This window comes from Homo sapiens, chromosome 15 (assembly GCF_000001405.40).
Source record: "Homo sapiens chromosome 15, GRCh38.p14 Primary Assembly".
Taxonomy (NCBI): Eukaryota; Metazoa; Chordata; class Mammalia; order Primates; family Hominidae; genus Homo; species Homo sapiens.
Window position 1 is genome coordinate 101,066,212 of NC_000015.10, and position 15,343 is coordinate 101,081,554.

The 15,343-nt window shown below is 51.7% G+C and overlaps 1 protein-coding gene and 1 long non-coding RNA gene across 6 annotated transcripts in view, besides 10 other annotated features; one reads left to right on the forward strand and one right to left on the reverse strand.

Moving 5' to 3' along the window:
* LRRK1 (leucine rich repeat kinase 1) overlaps positions 1-12,046 on the forward strand; it is a 158,901-nt gene extending 146,855 nt beyond the window's left edge. The window contains exons 33-34 of the mRNA NM_024652.6: positions 429-530; positions 2,460-12,046. Coding sequence (NP_078928.3) covers positions 429-530; positions 2,460-2,637 — 280 coding nt within the window. The 3' untranslated portion in view covers positions 2,638-12,046. The remainder of the gene's footprint in view (positions 1-428; positions 531-2,459) is intronic.
* LRRK1-AS1 (LRRK1 antisense RNA 1) overlaps positions 1-15,343 on the reverse strand; it is a 109,606-nt gene that overhangs the window by 23,978 nt on the left and 70,285 nt on the right. The gene's annotated exons all lie outside the window — the stretch shown is intronic.
* Positions 1,323-1,988: an enhancer, noted in NCBI's record as "H3K27ac-H3K4me1 hESC enhancer chr15:101607739-101608404 (GRCh37/hg19 assembly coordinates)". NCBI's record gives its function as "activates a minimal SCP1, AML or CMV promoter by ChIP-STARR-seq in primed H9 embryonic stem cells {active_cell/tissue: H9 hESC(primed)}" and the evidence as "EXISTENCE:reporter gene assay evidence [ECO:0000049][PMID:30033119]".
* Positions 2,653-3,318: an enhancer, noted in NCBI's record as "OCT4-NANOG-H3K27ac-H3K4me1 hESC enhancer chr15:101609069-101609734 (GRCh37/hg19 assembly coordinates)". NCBI's record gives its function as "activates a minimal SCP1, AML or CMV promoter by ChIP-STARR-seq in naive and primed H9 embryonic stem cells {active_cell/tissue: H9 hESC(naive and primed)}" and the evidence as "EXISTENCE:reporter gene assay evidence [ECO:0000049][PMID:30033119]".
* Positions 3,319-3,982: an enhancer, noted in NCBI's record as "OCT4-NANOG-H3K27ac-H3K4me1 hESC enhancer chr15:101609735-101610398 (GRCh37/hg19 assembly coordinates)". NCBI's record gives its function as "activates a minimal SCP1, AML or CMV promoter by ChIP-STARR-seq in primed H9 embryonic stem cells {active_cell/tissue: H9 hESC(primed)}" and the evidence as "EXISTENCE:reporter gene assay evidence [ECO:0000049][PMID:30033119]".
* Positions 3,937-4,103: a silencer, noted in NCBI's record as "fragment chr15:101610353-101610519 (GRCh37/hg19 assembly coordinates)". NCBI's record gives its function as "represses an EF-1alpha promoter that drives an FKBP-Casp9 reporter gene in an ReSE screen in phorbol 12-myristate 13-acetate-treated (for megakaryocytic differentiation) K562 erythroleukemia cells {active_cell/tissue: K562(+PMA)}" and the evidence as "EXISTENCE:reporter gene assay evidence [ECO:0000049][PMID:32094911]".
* Positions 9,887-10,450: an enhancer, noted in NCBI's record as "H3K27ac hESC enhancer chr15:101616303-101616866 (GRCh37/hg19 assembly coordinates)". NCBI's record gives its function as "activates a minimal SCP1, AML or CMV promoter by ChIP-STARR-seq in naive H9 embryonic stem cells {active_cell/tissue: H9 hESC(naive)}" and the evidence as "EXISTENCE:reporter gene assay evidence [ECO:0000049][PMID:30033119]".
* Positions 10,451-11,012: an enhancer, noted in NCBI's record as "H3K27ac-H3K4me1 hESC enhancer chr15:101616867-101617428 (GRCh37/hg19 assembly coordinates)". NCBI's record gives its function as "activates a minimal SCP1, AML or CMV promoter by ChIP-STARR-seq in naive H9 embryonic stem cells {active_cell/tissue: H9 hESC(naive)}" and the evidence as "EXISTENCE:reporter gene assay evidence [ECO:0000049][PMID:30033119]".
* Positions 11,577-12,138: an enhancer, noted in NCBI's record as "OCT4-NANOG-H3K27ac-H3K4me1 hESC enhancer chr15:101617993-101618554 (GRCh37/hg19 assembly coordinates)". NCBI's record gives its function as "activates a minimal SCP1, AML or CMV promoter by ChIP-STARR-seq in naive and primed H9 embryonic stem cells {active_cell/tissue: H9 hESC(naive and primed)}" and the evidence as "EXISTENCE:reporter gene assay evidence [ECO:0000049][PMID:30033119]".
* Positions 12,139-12,702: an enhancer, noted in NCBI's record as "NANOG-H3K27ac-H3K4me1 hESC enhancer chr15:101618555-101619118 (GRCh37/hg19 assembly coordinates)". NCBI's record gives its function as "activates a minimal SCP1, AML or CMV promoter by ChIP-STARR-seq in primed H9 embryonic stem cells {active_cell/tissue: H9 hESC(primed)}" and the evidence as "EXISTENCE:reporter gene assay evidence [ECO:0000049][PMID:30033119]".
* Positions 12,703-13,264: an enhancer, noted in NCBI's record as "NANOG-H3K27ac-H3K4me1 hESC enhancer chr15:101619119-101619680 (GRCh37/hg19 assembly coordinates)". NCBI's record gives its function as "activates a minimal SCP1, AML or CMV promoter by ChIP-STARR-seq in naive H9 embryonic stem cells {active_cell/tissue: H9 hESC(naive)}" and the evidence as "EXISTENCE:reporter gene assay evidence [ECO:0000049][PMID:30033119]".
* Positions 13,265-13,826: an enhancer, noted in NCBI's record as "NANOG-H3K27ac-H3K4me1 hESC enhancer chr15:101619681-101620242 (GRCh37/hg19 assembly coordinates)". NCBI's record gives its function as "activates a minimal SCP1, AML or CMV promoter by ChIP-STARR-seq in naive H9 embryonic stem cells {active_cell/tissue: H9 hESC(naive)}" and the evidence as "EXISTENCE:reporter gene assay evidence [ECO:0000049][PMID:30033119]".

Genomic DNA, 15,343 nt, shown 5'->3' on the forward strand with positions numbered 1-15,343 from the left:
TTCCCGAGGTGAGGGCACCATCCAGGGCACGCCCACTGCTCCTGCTCTGGGGACAGAGCAAGGGGAAGCCCCCTGGCTTCCTTACAGGTCATGTGGGGAGGCAGGTGCTGTTCTTCCAAGAGGGTTGGTTTCCTCCATTGGGAATGGAAGCGATCGCTTTAGCAAATCTAAGAGTGGCCGCACAAAAGCTTATTGCCTGCCAGAGAGCTTAAGGTGCCACACAAGGAAAGCCACAGTCAACTGTGACTCAGTTTCCACTGAGAAAATTCTCCTCTGCTTTGAAGTCTGTCCCCTCCCCATAACTTAATCCCTTAGCAGAAACTGCATGTCTGTTGCCTCCCTCCCGCACCTTTCTGCACACCGGCTTCACTCCCCGGAGAGCACGGCTACCGACAAATCGCTTCCCCTTCTGGGTTTTGGTTGCTTAGGCGCGGTGGAGATGTTATCGTCATTGGCCTGGAGAAGGATTCTGGCGCCCAGCGGGGCCGAGTCATTGCCGTCTTAAAAGCCCGAGAGCTGACTCCGCATGGGTAAGACTGAGTGGCAGCTCCTTTAGGACCCAGGCAGCAGCATGAGCACAGAAGGCCCTGCAGCCAGGTCCTGCACAGTGGCTTTGCTGCCCTTCCATTCTCCCAAATAGCATAGCCACTAACGTGGCTGTAAGGCAAAGTGGAAACAAGATGGGGCCCCTCAGACAGCTCCTAGGGGCTCCGCACTGGCCATGGCTGCCTGTTTCTGGAGTACCCAGTGCACCTGTAGATCAAGTACCCTACCTAGTACCCTACCTAACGAATGTCTCCAGGGCCAGAGTTCAGCTGCAATCGACATGCAGATGCATCCAGGTCATTGATTCACTGTTCTTCCTGCCAAGCAGGAAACCCTACCCGAGGTGTCCACCAGCCCACACAGCACCCTATGGGGACAGATGACACAGGCACACCTTGTCATCTCCAAGCCTGGGGTCTCAGCTCCTGCCCTTCCTGGGCTGAGACATAGCTCAGTACCTGTCTGTGGGTGGGGACCCCCAGGATTATGCCAGTCTCCTCTGTGAAGGTATGCTGGGCAGGGTGGCCTGTCCGGGACATGGTCTACATGGTTGCAGTGATGTGAGGCTGGCGCCAGCTGCAGCTCCCCACAGTGTTTACACCCCGCACTTTGACTACCGAGCCCCACACGGTAAATCTCCCCTACGAAAAGTCCTCAGTTCAAATGTGTGTGTGTGTGTGTGTGTGTGTGTGTGTGTGTGTGTGTGTACTTTGGAGCTCTTCCATTTCACACTAGGCCTGTTTCCCTGCAGCATGAGTTATCCCCCATCCCTGGGCAAGTGGGTTTTTATTTCATCTGGAGCATAAGAGGGTGGAGAAACACCAGTCAGCTTGCTTCTCCCAAAGCAGGACAATGACAAGGACATCCTTGGCAGTCGCACTCCCTTGCCTGCCAGCTTTGAACTTTTGCAGTGAGTCCTGGGCCAGTGACCCTTACTCTGTAAGTGGTTCTGGAAGCAAGATCTGGATCTGCTCCTGAGCTCTGGCAGAGCCTGTGGGTAGAAGCCTTGAACTGATGGAGTTCCCAGCTTGCAGGTCGGGCTTCTGGAGGAAATGGGTGTGCAGCACCCAGGTTAGGACCTTGGCATACCTGCCATTAATGTCCTAACGTTTAGCTGTTGTTTTTCTCCTATTCATCCCTAAAGCCAGATTTTACCTCTTTCTCGCTAGAGGGAGGCTCCTCCCCTAAGGGGAGGTCCTGGCAAGGCCACGCGGAGTGAGAGGTCCCTGGACATCCCAGTTTGCAGGAGCACCTCAGTGCCACGCAGGCCGCACACACGGGACACAGAGGGAGGAAAGGCAATTAGTATGTGCTTGGGGTGGGGCACCACCAGGGCAGGGAGGCCACACTGTGGCCCAAAAGGAAACCTGTAGCACACACCCACCGATCCTGCAAAACTGTCCACAGTTTCAAAAAATGTATATAGTGATGACTTTGGGGCAGTAGGTTTTCCATTTAATATATGATCCTGTATTTCCTAAGCCTGTAGAAACAGAATGAGAGAAGAATCTTACTGAGCTTAGTGGCAAGGGAGTTGAGTTAAACTCGGTCATGAGCCATTCACAAGCAGAAATTTGGGTCAGTGGTGTTTTCTGGACGCTTTGGGAGCTGAGTCAAGGATGCATGATCTGATTGCCTCTGTGGCCTTCCAGGGAGTCTGACTCTTACAGACAAAGCCCATGGACGCGAACTCATGCCCACAGCCCGTCTTTGGACTTTATAAAGCCTAAGCCCACAGGCTGGCCACTGGGGAGAAGTGGTGCATCTCAGCACACCCCAGAGAGGGCTGGCAAGCAGACACACTCCCCTGCCCTTAGCCAGCTCCGCCTTCCTCAGAAGGCACAGGGGGAGGGTCCCAACCCCACCCGAGTGGGAACCCCTGTGAGTTTCCTCAGACCCCCTTCTCTCTGCAGGGTGCTGGTGGATGCTGCCGTGGTGGCAAAGGACACTGTTGTGTGCACCTTTGAAAATGAAAACACAGAGTGGTGCCTGGCCGTCTGGAGGGGCTGGGGCGCCAGGGAGTTCGACATTTTCTACCAGTCCTACGAGGAGCTGGGCCGGCTGGAGGCTTGCACTCGCAAGAGAAGGTAATTCCTGTGGAATGACTGTCACACATCAGAGCTGGCTGGCCCGGGGCTGCAGCCTGACCCCTCTGCCATCGGCCTCTAGTTCTCCAAGGACCTAGAAGACAGATGGAGTTCTCCCCTGAACTCCTTGCTGCTAAGAAGTGCTGAGAAGTTACTCGCCTGGCGGTGGCTCCAGGGTTCTCTGGTTCTCTGGAGCAGAGTTCTCTGAATACCCCATCCCCCAACTGCTGATTTTACAGCCCCAGGGAAGACAGTGGTATCAGGCTGGGAGCGGCCTCCTCTGGCCTCCCCCATCAGTTTGCAGGAGCAGGGGTGCAGGATCCTGTTCTGAGCTGGGTCAAACAAAGCAGGGCCGGGCCTTCCTGCCATCCCCAGGTCTCAGATGGAATTACACTAGAGGCCCTCCGCTGGGAAGCACTTGAGGTAGGGCAGGAGGGGGGCTGTGACCCCTGCCCTTTCCCCGCCAGAGACCTCAGGCTCTCAGCACATTCCACAGGCTCCTGAGTCCCCGAGGCCTGGGCCAGCTTGGGCAAGCCAAGATCAGATGTCTCTGTGTTCGGGAAGGTCTCCGTGTGGGAAAGCCCTTGGGGGATCCCGGGTGAGGAGTGTTGCCCCATCCAGAGAATGAATGAGTTCCTTTAAGTGCCACCGCCAGCAAGCCCAGAGGCACACAGTCCGAGTGCACCCGCTTAGCCTTTACATTCCTCTCCACCGACAAAAGGAAGGGGAAACTCAATCAGCAGGACTTCAGAAAGGGCCTTGTGTTTATAGCTTTGTCAAGTAAATTTGGACGCAGCTGGAGCACAGGCCCTGTTTGTTTGCACATAATAATCTTGTTTATCACTTTAAAAAATTCAGTAATATCTCAGCAGTCAGGCTTCTGGTTGTGAAATCACATTGTATGGGATTTATACCAAATTATGTATTTGCTAAACATTCACTGCACACGTGTACAGCGGAGTACGAAAAGGAACGTTGTCCACAGGGGATTTATGGATACAACAGCAAACATTTTATAAACTATGCACATGCATTACACACATGCACACACATATGCACACACATGTGCAAACATAGCCACTTTTTTGTCAAGAGTTACCCTTTGGGGCTCCTTAAACCAGAATGGGAGTTTGAAAGAGAGATCATACTCCAGCTGAAGTTTGTTGACCCTTTTCTAAAATTAAAAAGATCAAATTTAGTATTTGCTGGATATGCAGGGAGATGAGACTCTTTTAATCTCAAAATAAACAGATTCTTTCAAGAACGAAGCTGTGGCCTCTGTCTTTTGAGCGCTTATGACCACAGCACGGGCTCAGTCCCTCCCAGACCCACTCGCTGTCTGGGGATAATGGGCAGCCCCTCCTTGCCCACTGTGCCAACATGCAGGTGGCCCCTGAGCAGCTTCCATGGGTGGAGACGCTGCTCTGTCAGTCACAGGCTTGGAAAAAGCGAGTCCCCCCACTCTTTTTTTTTTTTTTTTTTTTTTTTTTACCAACCTGGGCACCAAGTCCCAGGGGGCTGAGGGTCTGTGCTTCCTGTCTACCTCCCTGCCATTCTCTCACCCTCATCCCACAGCAGGGTCTCAGGAGTCCCACTCTCCCTCTCCTCTCATTCCAGTGCCCCACAACTGCCCAGTTAACCCCCAGATGCAAGCCAGATTCCATCTGCCCCAGGCCCCAAGCTTTTGCTTTGGCATCACGCGAGGCCAGGCTGCTTTGCAGGCACCAAAATTCACCCTCTCCTACTCCTGGAAAAGCCCAGCCCCAGGCCTCACAGAGCCAGGGGAGGGGATCTCATCACATCACAGTTAGAAATCATACAGGCCTAAAGTCCCAGCTACCCAGGAGCCAAGGCAGGAGGAACCCTTGAGCCTGGGAGTTGGAGGTTACAGTGAGCTATGATCACACCAGCTTTCTAGCCTGGGTGACAGAGCAAGACCCAACTCTTAAAAAAAAAAAAAAAATACAGGAAATGACTAATGAACTTGACTCCATGAAATTGAAACTTACGTGGAAAATTAGTCCAAAGCCTAAAAGACTAGCAACTGAGAAAAAAAAACATTGCAACACAAATGAGAGACAAAGACCTCACTTATCTTCATTACAGAGAGTTCGTAATGTCAATAAGAAACAGAAAACCGGAAAGGCAAACAGGTTAAGGGCATGGGCAGCAATTGAATTACAAAGAAACAGACAGACCCTTAAACATCAATGCTTGACCTCACCCAACAGCAGGGAAACAGTCTCCACAACAGTAAAATGTTGCTGGGATGGGCCCAGCATTCAGCATGGTCCCTGCAACTTTGGCCTCTGCCCAGTGACCTCTGGCGGGTGTAGAAGAGCTCATGCTTCAGTGAGGGGGTGGGGGGCACCCTGAGGACCCTGTCAACATCAGCTGGACCACAGGCATCTCAGATAGATGTCACTTACCACCCTCATGTTGGCAGAGGGTGGTAACCAGCCAGCATCTCCTTCTTAAACACCTACTAAGTGTCAGGCACTGTGACCGGAGACACAGTCAAGAATCTCTGTGTTTTTTTTGTTTTGTTTTGTTTTTGTTTTTTGAGACGGAGTCTCGCTCTGTTGCCCAGGCTGGAGTGCAATGGCGCGATCTCAGCTCACTGCCACCTCCGCCTCCCAGGTTCAAGCAATTCTCCTGCCTCAGCCTCCCGAGTAGCTGCGATTACAGGCGTGCACCACAATGCCTGGATAATTTTTGTATTTTCAGTAGAAACGGGGTTTCACCATGTTGGCCAGGATGGTCTTGAACTCCTGAGCTCAGGTGATCCGCCCGCCTCATCCTCCCAAAGTGCTGGGATTACAGGTGTGAGCTACCTGCGCTGGCCGAATCTCTGCTTTTAGGAGCTCACTCCTCATAGGTAGAGTTGACAATAAGCACACAAACAAGTGAGATAGCAGGGCAGCCGGACCACCCAGTTGGGCAATTCGTGGCTTGGCCTAGGAACGTTACATTTGACTGAGGCTGGCGAGGCCTGCAGCCTGCACCAGGAGGTACAATGTGAGACTGAGGAATGGGAAGAAGGCATTCCATGGAGCTCTGAGGGCACTGGGTGCAAGGGCCTTGCACATGCAAAGACCCTGTTGTGGGTTCAAGCCACTGTGTGGGAGGGACAGGAGAGCCTGGCGTGGCTGCGGCCTTGAAGGAGGGGACTGTGCACACAGAATTGCAAGTGGGGGTCTCCGCGGAAGCTCCTGGCAGTTTTAAGCAGGATTATTAGATGATTCAGTCAACTTTACAACTCACTTTGCTGAATGGAGGGTGGATTAACGAGGGGGTAGTTGGAGGCTACCCCTTGGAGGGCATTCTGGACTTATCTACCAAAATTTCAAATGCACATACCCTCTGACCCAGCAGTTCCACTTAAGTATTTGGTCCTGAAATCTTGGTAAAAGTGCCCAAAGATACAGAACAAGGATGTTCACTATAGCATCTCTTAGAATATGGCCCCAAACAGGAAGCAACCCCAACCTCTATCATGAGGGAGGTCATAAAATTCCTGCACATGCAACAGTGCCATCCTCTGCAGCCTGTCAAAGAGGCAGGCAGCACTAACTGCTGGACTGGAATGTTCTCCAAGATATAATAAATGCATTTGTTTGAAAGCAGCTTGCAGCACAGTGCGTCAGGCCTCTGAGCCCAAGCCAAGCCATCGCATCCCCTGTGACTTGCACGTATATGCCTAGATGGCCTGAAGTAACTGAAGAATCACAAAAGAAGTGAATATGCCCTGCCCCGCCTTAACTGATGACATTCCACCACAAAAGAAGTGAAAAAGGCCGGTCCTTGACTTAACTGATGACATTATCTTATGAAATTCCTTCTCCTGGCTCATCCTGGCTCAAAAAGCTCCCCCACTGAGCACGTTGCCACCCCCACTCCTGCCCGCCAGAGAACAAACCCCCTTTTTCCTTTACCTACCCAAATCTTATAAAACGGCCTCACGCCTATCTCCCTTCACTGACTCCCTTTTCGGACTCAGCCCACCTGCGCCCAGGTGAAATAAACAGCCTTGTTGCTCACACAAAGCCTGTTTGGTGGTCTCTTCACATGGACGTGCATTAAATTTGGTGCCGTAACTGGCGCGGGGGGAGGGGGGGGGGAACCTCCCTTGGGAGATCAATCCCCTGTCCTCCTGCTCTTTGGTCCATGAGAAAGATCCACCTACAACCTCAAGTCCTCAGACCAACCAGCCCAAGAAACATCTCACCAATTTCAAATCCAGTAAGCAGCCTCTTTTTACTCTCTTCTCCAACCTCCCTCACTATCCCTCAACCTCTTTCTCCTTTCAATCTTGGCGCCACACTTCAATTTCTCCCTTCTCTTAACTTCAATTCCTTTCATTTTCTGGTAGAGATAAAGGAGACACGTTTTATCCGTGGACCCAAAACTCCAGCGCCGGTCACGGACTGGGAAGGCAGCCTTCCCTTGGTGTTTAATCATTGCAGGGACACCTCTCTGATTATTCACCCAGGTTTCAGAGGTGTCAGACCACGCAGGGACGCCTGCCTTGGTCCTTCACCCTTAGCGGCAAGTCCCGCTTTTCTGGGGAATGGGCAAGGACCCCAACCCCTTCTCTCCGTGTCTCTACCCCTTCTCCGCCTTTCTGGGGGGCAAGAAACCCCCAACCCCTTCTCCTTCACCCTGAGCGGCAAGTCCCGCTTTTCTAGAGGAGGAGCAAGTACTCCAACCTCATATCTCTGCGCCCCAATCCCTTATTTCTGTGCCCCAACCTCTTATCTCTGTGCCCCAATCCCTTATTTCCATGCCCCCACCTCTTATATCTCTGCACCTTGATCCCTTATTTCCACATCCCGACCTCGTATCTCTGCACCCCGACCCCTTTCCCACTTTTCTGGAGAGTAAGAACCCCTGAACCGCTTCTCTCCGTGTCTCTACTCTCCCTTTTCTTTAAACTTGCCTCCTTCACTGTAGGCAACCTTCCACTCTCCATTCCTCCTTCTTCTCCCTTAGCCTATGTTCTCAAAAACTTAAAACCTCTTCAACTCACACCTGACCTAAAACCTAAATGCCTTATTTTCTTCTGCAATGCCGCTTGACCCCAATACAAACTCAACAGTAGTTCCAAATAGCCGGAAAACAGCACTTTCAATTTTTCCATCCTGCAAGATCTAAATAATTCTTGTCGTAAAATGGGCAAATGGTCTGAGGTGCCTGACGTCCAGGCGTTCTTTTACACATCAGTCCCTCCCTAGTCTCTGTTCCCAGTGCAACTCATCCCAAATCTTCCTTCTTTCCCTCCCGCCTGTCTCCTCAGTCCCAACCCCAAGCATCGCTGAGTCTTTCTAATCTTTTCTATAGACCCATCTGACCTCTCCCCTCCTCCCCAGGCTGCTCCTTGCCAGGCCGAGCTAGGTCCCAATTCTTCCTCAGCCTCCGCTCCTCCACCATATAATCTTTTTATCACCTCCCCTCCTCACACCCGGTCCGGCTTACAGTTTCCTTCCGTGACTAGCCCTCCCCTACCTGCCCAGCAATTTTCTCTTAAAAAGGTGGCTGGAGCTAAAGGCATAGTCAAGGTTAATGCTCCTTTTTCTTTATCCCAAATCAGATAGCGTTTAGGCTCTTTTTCATCAAATATAAAAACCCAGCCCAGTTCATGCCTCGTTTGGCAGCAACCCTGAGACACTTTACGGCCCTAGACCCTAAAAGCCCAAAAGGCCGTCTTATTCTCAATATATATTTTATCACCCAATCTGCTCCCTACATTAAATAAAACTCCAAAAATTAAATTCCGGCCCTCAAACCCCACAACAGGATTTAATTAACCTTGCCTTCAAGGTGTACAATAATAGAAAAAAGTTGCAATTCCTTGCCTCCACTGTGAGACAAACCCCAGCCACATCTCCAGCACACAAGAACTTCCAAACACCTGAACTGCAGCGGCCAGGCATTCCTCCAGAACCTCCTCCCCCAGGAGCTTGCTACAAGTGCCAGAAATCTGGCCACCAGGCCAAGGAATGCCTGCAGCCCAGGATTCCTCCTAAGCCGTGTCCCATCTGTGCGGGACCCCACTGGAAATCGGACTGTCCAACTCACCTGGCAGCCACTCCCAGAGCCCCTGGAACTCCGGCCCAAGGCTCTCTGACTGACTCCTTCCCAGATCTTCTTGGCTTAGCGGCTGAAGACTGACACTGCCCGATCACCTCGGAAGCCCCCTAGACCATCACGGACGCCGAGCTGCCAGTAACTCTCACAGTGGAAGGTAAACCCGTCCCCTTCTTAATCAATACGGAGGCTACCCACTCCACATTACCTTCTTTTCAAGGGCCTGTTTCCCTTACCTCCATAACTGTTGTGCGTATTGACAGCCAGGCTTCTAAACCTCTTAAAACTCCCCAACTCTGGTGCCAACTTAGACAATACTCTTTTAAGCACTCCTTTTAGTTATCCCCAGCTGCCCAGTTCCCTTATTAGGCTGAGACACTTTAACTAAATTATCTGCTTCCCTGACTATTCCTGGGCTACAGCCACACCTCATTACTGCCCTTCTTCCCAATCCAAAGCCTCCTTTGTGTCCTCCTCTTGTATCCCCCGACCTTAACCCATAAGTATAAGATACCTCTACTCCCTCCTTGGTGACCGATCATGCACCCCTTACCATCTCATCGAAACCTAATCACCCTTACCCCGCTCAACACCAATATCCCATCCCACAGCATGCTTTGAAAAGACTAAAGCCTGTTATCACTCTCCTGCTACAGCATGGCCTTTTAAAGCCTATAAACTCTCCTTACAATTCCCCCATTTCACTTGTCCTAAAACCAGACAAGCCTTACAAGTTAGTTCAGGATCTGTGCCTTATCAACCACATTGTTTTGCCTATCCACCCCATGGTGTCAAACCCATATACTCTCCTATCCTCAATACCTCACTCCATAATCCATTATTGTGTTCTGGATCTCAAACATGCTTTCTTTACTATTCCTTTGCACCCTTCATCCCAGCCTCTCTTCACTTTCACTTGGACTGACCCTGACACCCATCAGGCTCAGCAAATTACCTGGGCTGTACTGCCCCAAAGCTTCACAGACAGCCCCCATTACATCAGTCAAGCCCAAATTTTTTCCCTATCTGTTACCTATCTCAGCATAATTCTCATAAAGACACACGTGCTCTCCCTGCCGATCATGTCCGATTAATCTCCCAAACCCCAACCCCTTCTACAAAACAAGAACTCCTTTCCTTCCTAGGCATGGTTAGTGCAGTCAGAATTCTTACACAAGAGCCAGGACCGCACCCTGTAGACCTTCTGTCCAAACAACTTGACCTTACTGTTTTAGCCTAGCCCTCATGTCTCTGTGCAGCGGCTGCTGCCACCCTAATACTTTTAGAGGCCCTCAAAATCACAAACTATGCTCAACTCACTCTCTACAGTTATCATAACTTCCAAAATCTATTTTCTTCCTCATACCTGACATATATACTTTCTGCTCCCCGGCTCCTTCAGCTGTACTCACTCTTTATTGAGTCTCCCACAATTACCATTTTTCCTGGCACCGACTTCAATCCAGCCTCCCACATTATTCCTGATACCACACCTGACCCCCATGACTGCATCTCTCTGATCCACCTGACGTTCACCCCATTTCCCCACATTTCCTTCTTCCCTGCTTCTCACCCTGATCACACTTGGTTTATGGATGGCAGTTCCACCAGGCCTAATGGCCACACACCAGCAAAGGCAGGCTGTGCTATAGTACAAGCCGCTAGCCCGCCTCTTAGAACCTCTCATTTCCTTTCCATCGTGGAAATCTATCCTCAAGGAAATAACTTCTCAGTGTTCCATCTGCTATTCTACTGCTCCTCAGGGATTATTCAGGCCCCCTCCCTTCCCTACACATCAAGCTCAGGGATTTGCCTCCACCCAGGACTGGCAAATTGACTTTACTCAACATGCCCCGAGTCAGATAACTAAAATACCTCTTATTCTAGGTAGACACTTTCACTGGATAGGTAGAGGCCTTTCCTACAGGGTCTGAGAAGGCCACCATGGTCATTTCTTCCCTTCTGTCAAACATAATTCCTCGGTTTGGCCTTCCCACCTCTATACTGTCTGATAACAGACCAGCCTTTATTAGTCAAATCAGCCAAGCGTTTTTTCAGGCTCTTAGTATTCAGTGAAACCTTTATATCCCTTACAGTCCTCAGCCTTCAGGAAAGGTAGAACGGACTAATGATCTTTTAAAAACACACCTCACCAAGCTCAGCCACCAACTTAAAAAAGACTGGACAATACTTTTACCACTTTCCCTTCTCAGAATTCAGGCCTGTCCTTGGAATGCTACAAGGTACAGCCCATTTGAGCTCCTGTATAGACGCTCCTTTTTATTAGGCCCCAGTCTCATTCCAGACACCAGACCAACTTGGACTGTGCCCCAAAAAACTTGTCATCCCTACTATCTTCTGTCTAGTCGTACTCCTATTCACCATTCTCAACTACTCATACGTGCCCTGCTCTTGTTTACACTGCCAGTTTACACTGTTTCTCCAAGCCATCACAGCTGATATCTCCTGGTGCTATCCCCAAACCGCCACTCTGAACTCTTAAATACATAATCTTTGCTGGCAGGACTATGCTGAACCTCCTTTGGCACTCTCTAATCAGATGTCCTGAGTCATCTCAATTCTTAGACCTTTTATACCTGTTTTTCTCCTTTACTTATTCCGTTTAGTTTTTCAATTCATACAAAACCGTATCCAGGTCATCACCAATAATTCTAAATGACGAATGTTTCTTCTAACAACCGCACAATATCACCCCTTACCACAAGACCTCCCTTCAGCTTAATCTCTCCCACTCTAGGTTCCCACGCCGCCCCGAATCCCGCTCGAAGCAGCCCTGAGAAACATCGCCCATTCTCTCTCTCCACACCGCCCCCCAAAAATTTTCGCTGCCCCAACACTTCGACACTATTTTGTTTTATTTTTCTTATTAATATAAGAAGGCAGGAATGTCAGGCCTCTGAGCCCAAGCTAAGCCATCGCATCCCCTGTGACCTGCACGCATATATAAGCCCAGATGGCCTGAAGTAACTGAAGAATCACAAAAGAAGTGAATATGCCCTGCCCCACCTTAACTGATGACATTCCACCACAAAAGAAGTGTAAATGGCTGGTTCTTGCCTTAAGTGATGACATTACCTTGTGAAAGTCCTTTTCCTGGCTCATCCTGGCTCAAAAAGCACCCCCACTGAGCACCTTGCCGCCCCCACTCCTGCCCGCCAGAGAACAAACCCCCTTTGACTGTAATTTTCCTTTACCTACCCAAATCCTATAAAACGGCCCCACCCCCATCTCCCTGCACTGACTCTCTTTTCGGACTCAGCCCGCCTGCACCCAGGTGAAATAAACAGCTTTATTGCTCACACAAAGCCTGTTTGGTGGTCTCTTCACACGGACGTGCATGAAAGTGTGTACTGAGTTACCGTGTGCGTAAAAAACATTGCAGAGCTCTGCGTGTACGCACAGGGAAAATATCCCAAAGGACACCCAACGACGTGGTGGACACTGGTTGCCTCTGGGGAGGAGAACAGAGGGCTGGCATAGAGGAGTGAACCCTTTATTTTTATTGTACACCTTCCTTCCTCTCTGCACCCTGAATTGTGTGCATGCCTATGATGGAGGTAATTAGGCTGGGAGGGGCCTCTTCCCTGAGCCCAACAGGTGGCTCTTGGCCTTGGTCTCTAGAGGTCATGGGGAGCCCCCCTTTGTCCCCTCTCCTCTGTGAGTGTCTGATTCCATGGAGGGCAGGTCCTGAGGCAGGGTTGGGTTCCCTAACAATCCGTCCATCTAACTTCATGGTCCTGGCTAAACGAGAACCTCCTTGGCTGTCTTTGGGATGCAGGCCCAGGTGAGGCGGATGGTGGGATGCAGGCCCGGAGCCCCAGGTGAGGTGGATGGCTACAGCAGGGGGACACGCATGCGGGGCTGGACTCAGGGGGCCAAGGCCAATTGGCTCTGACCCTGGTCCACCTTCACCCTGGAATGGGGAAGGTGTGCAGCCCAGGTGCAGGGTCAAGGCCCACCCCTCCCCAGGAGATGGCACACAGGCCTCCTCCCGCCCACCACACTGCACCTGGGAAAGCAGTGGCCTGACGACTGGTCACTGGCTGAGCCGTCACCACCTTCCAGGACCACTGATTGCTCAAACCTGCAGGGTCTTTGCAAGGAGCCTGCCTGGGTCGGGGAGGCTGCCAGAGCCCGTCTCCCTCACAGTGCCTCCAGGGCTGGAGCACGGGCTCCTCTGGCAGAAAGCACTGGGCAAGCCCCAGAGGAGACATGGTGACACAGAAACTCCCCAATGCTCAGGAAAACCTGAAACACGCCGAGAGGCAAGCAGCAGGCTGCTGCCCTGGAAGGAGCCACATTTTCCAGCATGTCGGGCCTGGGGCCTCAGAGTCTCTGCGGGGAGAGGGGGTGAGGGAAAGGGTGGGGGGATGGGGAATGGAGAATGGAGTTGGGGTATAGGGGTCAGTTAAACAGCACTTTAACAATCACTGTGGCAGAAACTGCAAGCTGCAGCCCTTCCTGCTCAGTATCAGACCCCAATTTTGTTGGTGCATGTTTTCCCAGCCACCTTTGCAGGTGGGGTGGCCCTGGGACTGAGCTCCAGCCAGGGGTGACTTGGATGTCGTCAAGTAGAGCTTCAGGGAACTCCATCAAAGGGGGCTGAGTCACTGGAGGCCCCTTTGACCCTGCCCCTGCCTCCTCCTTCCTTGTGGGAGGGAGGGCCCCAGGAGGACCTGGGGCAGTGATGGGGGACAGTTCGCCAGCTCTGACTGCCAACCTGCGGGCTTCATGTGATCTTATGGAAAAGGAACCCACTTCCTTGTTGAAGCCAGCATTTTTCAGCTGTCTATGACTGGCAGCCAAATGCAGTTCCTAATATTCAGATACATTTTCCATTAGCCCGACCAGAGCACTAAGGGTCAGCACGTGAGCTGGCTCTAACCACCTTCTGTTTAAGTCCGGGCAGGGGGACCTAAGAACCATGGATTGGAGCGTTGTGTGCCAGGCGTGCCCCCTGCTCACCGGTGCATCGTGAGAGCTGGGTGTGGTGTAGCCCACAGTTCTTCCCAAGGCAACCAAACCACAGTCACAGAGAGGATCCAGGGTTTCATCCAAGTCACCCAAAGGCCAAAACTTAAGGTGTGGTGGCTTTGATGTCCTGCAAGTTTAAATTCCATGCTGGACAGGCTACCCCAGCTCTGCAGCCCTGGTTTCTCCTCTGTCATCAACAATTCCCGATGGGATCGGCACAGGGACTAGGAGGGCCCCCGCCAGGGCCAGGACTCCCACCTTTCCCCCTGGCCATGAGACCCCTCTTTCCTGCCTGGGAAGGGCACCCTGGGGGAAGCACACAGTCTTCCTTGAGAAGCCCTTAGGGGAAACACAAGCAGTCCTGTTGCCATGAACTATCCCAGCATTCACAATAAATCTCCTCTCTGAAGATTTTTTCTGAAATAATGAAGACTTTTGTACACACCCTTACTTGCGAATTGAGTTAAGGTGTAGCACATAGAAGAATAAACGGATGCTGACTGATGAGTGTAATAAGATGATAGGGATGTTTAAGAGTCCCAATTTGGAACATACGGGTTTTTGTTTTTTGTGTTTTGAGATGGAGTCTGGCCCCCGTCGTGCAGGCTGGAGCTTGGTGACACGACCTTGGCTCACTGCAACCTCCACCTCCCGGGTTCAAGCGATTCTCCTTCCTCAGCCTCCTGAGTCGCTGGGATTACAGGCGTGCGCCACCACGCCCGGCTAATTTTTGTATTTTTAGTAGAGATGGGGTTTCGCCATATTGGCCAGGCTGGTCTCGAACACTTGACCTCAGGTGACCCACCCGCCTCGGCCTCCCAAAGTCCTAGGATTAGAGGCGTGAGCCATTGCGCCCGGCCTGGAACATGTGTTTTTTTAAAATGAAGTAGTAATAATGATCCACACACAAATAAAATTAATTTCCACTTTGCCATCAGTGGTCCTTGCCACCCCCAGGGCTGTCACCAGGCTCTCTGCTCTTCTGGGCCTATGGTTGGGCTGCATTCCCCGGCCCACTGAGGTCTGTTGGTGGGTCCGAGGGGAGAGGCACTAGTTAGTGCTGGGAAATGCGTGCCGAGTGCAAGGGCACTGTCACGGTGCCACAGGCGAGAGCCCTGCGCTTCCTGCGGGAGACGACTCTACCAGAGCACCCCTTCCCTCCGCCCTGGGCCCTGCAGCTTTCGCTGGTTGTTGCTCAGTCAGCCTGGGAGAGACGACCCGGAGTGCCCAGGCAGCTCGCCACGGACATGTATGAAGAACAAGCAGCAAAGCCTGTCGTTGGGGCCACTGGGAGCTGAGGGTTTGGTGACCTGAGCTCGCCCAGCCCATTCTACTTGACCTGTGACCAGCTCGCGCCCAGACCACCGAGCACGCTCACACACAGCCTCGCACCCCTGGCACCAGCTCCACGGAGCTGTCCCCTGCTCTGTAAGAAGAAACAGCCCAGCTCTGCCTCCCAGCCTGGGAACTTCTCAAGGGAAGGTACAGAGAGGCGAGGTCTTCACAGGCAAAGGAGTCCCATCCAAAAAGAAGGTGGGGGTGGCCAGGGGACAGCAGCCTAACGTGTGAAATTGGGAACATCCACGTGAACTCATGACCTTTAATTGTAGAAAGAAATCAAAATACGG